The sequence below is a fragment of the Homo sapiens genome, chromosome 13 (genome assembly GCF_000001405.40).
Source record: "Homo sapiens chromosome 13, GRCh38.p14 Primary Assembly".
Lineage (NCBI taxonomy): Eukaryota > Metazoa > Chordata > Mammalia > Primates > Hominidae > Homo > Homo sapiens.
Genome location: NC_000013.11, coordinates 103,391,997 through 103,398,203, shown reverse-complemented (window position 1 = coordinate 103,398,203; position 6,207 = coordinate 103,391,997). Strand labels below are relative to the sequence as shown.

Here is a 6,207-nt window from a genome sequence, read left to right as displayed (position 1 = left end):
AGGCTCATAGGCAGAGAGACTTGCCTTGTCTCAGATGAGACTTTGAACTTGGACTTTTGAGATAATGCTGGAATGAGTTAAGACTTTGGAGGACTGTTAGAAGAGCATGATTGTGTTTTGAAATGTGAGGACATGAGACTTGGGAGGGGTCAGGGTGAAGTAATATGGTTTGGCTGTGTCCCCACCCAAATATCATCTTGAATTGTAGTTCTCATAATCTCCATGTGTTGTGGGAAGGACCCAGTGGGAGGTAATTGAATCAGGGGGGCAGTTACCCTCATGCTGTTCTTGTGATAGGGAGTTTTCACAAGATCTTTTGGTTTTATGAGGGGCTTTTCCCCCTTTGCTCAGTATTTCTCCTTGCTGCTACCATGTGTAGAGGGATGTGTTTGCTTCCCCTTCCACCATGATTGTAAGTTTCCTGAGGCCTTCCCAGCCATGCTGATCTGTGAGTCAATTCAACCTCTTTTCTTTATAAACTCCCCAGTCTTAGGTAGGTATTTATTAGCGACATGAGAATGGACTAATACATCAGCCTTCAGAAGTGGTAGAAATAATTTCTATTGTTTACAAGTCACCCAGTCTACGGTTTTTTGTTATAGCAGCCTGAACAGACTAAGGCAGAAAATTGGTACCTGGAGTAGGCTGCTGTTTTCACATATACTTTAAAATGCAGAAGAGCTTTGGAACTGGGTAATGGGTAGAGGCTCGAAGAATTTTGATGTTCATGCTAGTAAAATCCTACATTGCCATGAACAGCCTCCAACTTGTAAGAACAGCAGCACAGGCTGCTCCCAGCAAAGCCATTAGAGGAGGGGCACTCAGATACTTGGGGACCCAACTCCTGCACAGCAAAGCTGCAAAGGTGAAGCCTTCACCTTAGTGTATGCAGTAGACAGGACCCCTGTGCCAGTGGAGGGCAGAGCATTGAGCCAAAGGAGGTTATTCTTAAGCCTTAAGGTTTTGGCCACGCTTGGGACCAGTCACTCCATTCTTTCCTATGTGTTTCTTTTGAAATGGAAATGCCCATTCTGTGCCTGTTTCACCATTGTGTTTTGGAAGCACGTAACATGCCTGAGATCACAGGTTCACAGCTGGAGAGGAATTTGCCTCAGGATACCTCGAGACTCACTCATATACAATTAACATGACATTTAGATGAGACTTTGGACTTTAGACTTTCAAGTTGTCCATGGAACAAGTTAGGACTTTGGGGGCTATTGGGGTGGTATTTGGCATGCAAGTGGGACATGAATTTCAAAAGATCAGAGGTGGAATGATAAGGGCTGAATATTTATGTCCCCTCAAAATTCAAAAGTGAAAATCCTAATCTCAAGATAATATGGTACTAGGACGTGTGGCCTTTGGGAGATGACTAGATCATAAGGACAGGGTCTTTATGAATGACATTAGTGCTTTTCTAAAAGAGACTTCCAAAGACACCCCCCTCACCCCTCCATCATGTAAGGATACAAAAGGAAGCCAGCCATCTATGAGAAAGCAGTCCCTTACCACACATCAAATCTGTTCGTGTCTTTACTTGGACTTCAGGCTTCCAGAACTTTGAAAAATAGCTTTCTGTTGTTTATAAGCCACTCAGTCTATGATACTCTGTTACAGCAGCTACAATGGGCTAAAATGTTGATCTTTCCATGACCTCCTTTCTGTAACTAAAAATCCTGAACGGGAGAGAGAGGAGAGAGAGAGAAAGACAGGAAGCTCGAGAGAGGAGAGAGAAAAACAGCATCTTTATTATGGTATTCACCCTCTCGTCAGTTATCGGAGTATTTACTTTTAGTGTCTGCCCCTCACACTGAACTTAGTCTCCCAAAAGCAAAGACTGTTTTATGCAACTTCATATGTTCGATGAGCAGCACAAAGCATGATATATAGTAACGTTCAACACATGCACATCTAACACATACAATAATTGTAAAGCTGTACACAAATTTGTAATTAGAATTTCTACATAGTTTTCACTTGGCATTAAAAATTATGTCCCTAAAATGAGGCAATAGCCTACTATTTTTATAAAGACTTGAAAAAATTATTTATTTATATTTGTCCACTTTTATTTTATAATACACTAATCTGAGATAGATTAGTATTCTGAAAATCTCTATAGCATGTTACTTCTGAACTGGTAAGCATGAGTTTCTCAAAGCAAGACTCCATTCTTAGTTTGGGGTCACAGAAGATTGCTTCTTTGCCCTGATTACTGCTGCAGACAAGAGCTGATGCCAACTGCTCTGCCACCATTCCTCAAATGCTGCAGTCAAAATTTCATTGTGGTCACATTTTTACTTCCAAGCACCCACCTCTCCCCTGCTCCTTTTTATCGTGTAACTAAGATGTATTCTAACATGCAAACATAAGTATACATTTACAGCTTAGTGTGCTTGTTTCAGAATCCCAGCCAAACTTTGTTTTTCTTGATGAATTGTGACTGGGTCAGAAAAATGCAGGCAGACAGTGACCCATTTGTCCACTTAATATATTTGGCAACAAATGTAATTGTAAATATAGCAGGTTAGTGTTTGAGGGAGGAAAATGCAGTATTGTTATAAGAAGAATAATGTCCACTTGAAGCTATACCAATTACCCAAGTCTGTGCACATCCAGGCTGCATCACTGAATTGCTGAATATATGTATAAGCAATTCAGAAAGGACTTAAAAGTTTTTAAATGTTTCTTCTCTTTCAATGAAATTCACTCACACATGATTCTTAAATGGTCTTCATATCCAGTTTGAAACTGAGCGCATGTTTGGAGTCAAGTTCAGTTTGGTATTTCGTGGTACTGAAAAAGAAAATGAACTTTCAAAAGAAGAATAGGATTCTAGTTTCTGTTAATGGTATGCAAAGTGCCAGCATGCAAGCATGTTACATAAAATCTAAAAGATAAATTTAACTGATGCATTTTCCAGTTAAACATTAGCTTTAACATGGATACTGAGACTCTAATGTTTCACAAGGTTAAGTTTGTGATTGAGACACACAGTATTTAAAACAGGTGGAGACCATGCCTAGCTCCCCTTGGAAGTTTAATGCCACAGCAAATAATTAAATAGAACTTATTGGGCAAATAAGGAAAAGCCACTCCAAATTAAATCTCGCAATTATTACTGTATAAGGCATTTATGCAGTGCTTCTTGTTTTTATAATAATTGCTATCACTGTCATACTGTTTCACAAATATCTATTCCTCTACTATTAGAGGTCTCATTTCATTGAAATATATCCAAGATCAGACAGTAAATCTGGATATCAAGCACACAGGGAGACAGTGCCAAAACCCTGTGCTCATCAGTTTACACAGAGGATGCTTTGAAACTGGGTTTCAATCCAAACAAGTTTCATGCATAGAGTAGAAACTGCTTCCTTAAAAGACCTGTATCCATGGCCTGATGCGTCTGGTGTTTGCTTTCTTCAGCACAGAAGCCATGGTCCTGTGGAACACATGTTGGAATCTTAATGTTAGGACATCAGCAAGTTGTAGTCAGGGCAATTAAAACAATGCATGGAGCACTGACCCAGACCCTGATGACACCCAAAGTTTCCACAACGCAGCAATTTCAAATATTTAATTCAATTTTTACAGCAGTTGTCTAAAATGGATGATGTCAGAGCACAGTCTGAATTCAAGGAACTCTCAGTTTAAGAGATCAGAAAGTCAAAATAAACATGTATTTAAGACGAATGTGTTCTGTGACCCTTCCCCAGAATGTGTTGGGTCGTGTGTAAAACTGTGTTCAGGTGGATAAAGTTTATAGAAACCCTACAGTAGAGTAAAAAAGTCAGGGTAAGCTTTCTGGAGGCGAGGCAGGTCAAATGAATGACATGAATGATAGGCTATAACTTAGTAGAGAAAAGGAATGTGCAGGAGAACCATCTCTAAAACTCTTGTCAACACCTATTTCCAAATCCAGTGTTTTACATCACAGAGAATGGTTCATCAGTGATGTAGGCTCTGTAATGTTGCTACCTGAAACAGTCTGGAAAGTCTCCATTTACCAGGACTTTGCTGAAGAAATAGTTTGAATGACTATAAAAAATGGGAATTTCATTCTTTTAAAAAGTCAACATTGGCTGGGCACGGTGGCTCACGCCTATAATTCCAGCACTTTGGGAGGCCAAGGCAGGTGGAACATGAGGTTAGGAGTTCAAGAACAGCCTGGCCAAGATGGTGAAACCTCATCTCTACTAAAAATACGAAAATTAGCCAGGCGTGGTGGCGGGTGCCTGTGATCCCAGCTATTTGGGAGACTGAGGCAAGAGAATCGCTTGAACCCAGGGGGCAGAGATTGCACTGAGCTGAGATCGCACCACTGCACTCCAGCCTGGGTGACAGAGTGAGGCTCTGTCTCAGAAAAACAAAACAAAAAAGTCAACATTACTGGTGAGAAAATCTTAGGTGGGCTTTGCTCGTGAACAAAACACCAAGCACTCCCTTCCCAACTCTACAAGGCTGTCAAGATCATGAGCCTCATGGACACAGGTGGACTGGTGGATGAAAAGTGAGAAAAACACAGCATCAATCAGTAAGCCTCTCTCCCAGCCAACACCCCTCCAACACAGGACTGGACCCCATCACTGTGGCAGCACCTATGGCAGCTGTCAGCATCATTGGACCCACAGAAAAGGCCATGGACCCCTAGGACAGAAACCCCTCCCAGGCCAGAGAGCAAGTGTTAGGCTGGATACCAGGGCCTTCCGAGAGAAAAGACCTCATGTAGCCTATCCCTTACTGTCGTCCCTGTGTTTCCTTAACAAACCTACATTCTCCCCTCTCTCACTAACCTGACTCCATGCCCTCTGGACCTTCTTCTTAGTCAACAGCCATTTGGCTACATCTTCAACATCTTCAACCCTTTTGCACAACAGTCCCTCCATTTCCCTTGTCTTACAGAAAACCTATGGATCTCTGAAGATAACATTTCCCTTCAGCACCTTTGTTCTTTTTTCTAAGGTCAGAAAGTAGGAACATAATTCTCGCTTTGGAATTTTCTGTGCTTTTTATCCCATTGCTCTCTCTGTAAAGTGTTTGGTTTCTTTGACCGTAGGACCACCCTGCACTGCCCCCTCTCAACCTCCCCATCGCTGTCATCTCCAGCCCTCCGAGACATTCCTCAGTTGATGAAGAGGCCTCCGCGTGGCTGGAGGCTTCCTCTGCATCTCCGGTTATAATTCCAGGCTGCCTCAGCATCCATATGAAGTTGCCCTGACAATCTTACTTTCAGATTTAATGACTTCCTAGACTAAAACTATCTTCTCTTTATTCTATCACAACCACCCTCCCCTACCGTCCCACCCTGGACTGCTTCTGGTCTAAATCATAAATCAAAATATTCCACTTTTCAGCCACAGCTTCCCATCATTCCATCCTACATACAACGACCTCCACAGAACTGAGCTTCAGTCTCATAATGAGAACTTCATTCTTAACCCTTCTGCTTTCTTTCTTTGCAAGAAAATATTGTCATTCCTTCTTTATCACCCAGTTAGCCCATCATTTAAATCATGCATTTGTAAATATCCCAAACTCTTTGGTTTCTTGTGTTTTCTTTGTATCCTCTTATCAAGCTCCCAGTTCTCCTTATGGGAAATTATACAACTGAGAAGATTGGTGTCACAGTCAATTTAGGTTCATCATTCAGAACTGCATTTCACTCTGGATGGTCAGTTCTCCCTCCCCTCTCCACAGACTGAAATCAATACCACTGCAATCTCAGCAACCCTCCAACCTTCTCACCCAGCCCTTCTTCAGGAAGTGATCTTGTATGAAAACTGCAAGCATAAGCTAAGGATACTCTTACCTGTCCATTGCCACACCTACAAACTACCAGGGTTTACATGCAGCTTTTTCCTCCAGGGGAGAAAGTGTTCTTCCTATTAAAGCCCACTCTCTCCATAGGGCTCCTTTCAGAAATCCTATGGTATCAACTATGGAGGTTTTCTCATGTATTTTCAACTTCCCCCTACAAATAGGATTAAATTATTCTCATCAGCATGAAAATATGTACCGGTTTTTTCCGTAAAACCACAATAAAAAAATGTCTGTTTGGACATAACTTCTGTTTCCTTCTTTCATAACCAAGTTTCTGAAGTCTGTTTTATAAATGCTACCTATGCTTGATTTCTCATTCACGTAGCCACTTACTGGAATAAGTTCTCTAGTGCTACCATTCAACAAAATCTAAAGTCAACA

The 6,207-nt window shown here is 41.4% G+C and overlaps 1 long non-coding RNA gene across 1 annotated transcript, besides 2 other annotated features; it reads right to left on the bottom strand.

Moving 5' to 3' along the window:
- Positions 809-1,310: an enhancer, noted in NCBI's record as "NANOG hESC enhancer chr13:104049244-104049745 (GRCh37/hg19 assembly coordinates)". NCBI's record gives its function as "activates a minimal SCP1, AML or CMV promoter by ChIP-STARR-seq in primed H9 embryonic stem cells {active_cell/tissue: H9 hESC(primed)}" and the evidence as "EXISTENCE:reporter gene assay evidence [ECO:0000049][PMID:30033119]".
- Positions 911-1,205: a silencer, noted in NCBI's record as "tiled region #1917; HepG2 Repressive non-DNase unmatched - State 24:Quies, and K562 Repressive non-DNase unmatched - State 24:Quies". NCBI's record gives its function as "represses a minimal TATA promoter and a strong SV40 promoter by Sharpr-MPRA in HepG2 and K562 cells {active_cell/tissue: HepG2 | K562}" and the evidence as "EXISTENCE:reporter gene assay evidence [ECO:0000049][PMID:27701403]".
- LOC105370339 (uncharacterized) lies at positions 1,732-5,977 on the bottom strand. Its single transcript, XR_931688.4, has 3 exons — positions 5,816-5,977; positions 3,391-3,448; positions 1,732-2,799 (listed from the first exon to the last, which is right to left on the bottom strand). It is a non-coding gene; the product is annotated as an uncharacterized LOC105370339 (long non-coding RNA).
- Between the last annotated feature and the right edge of the window lie 230 nt (positions 5,978-6,207).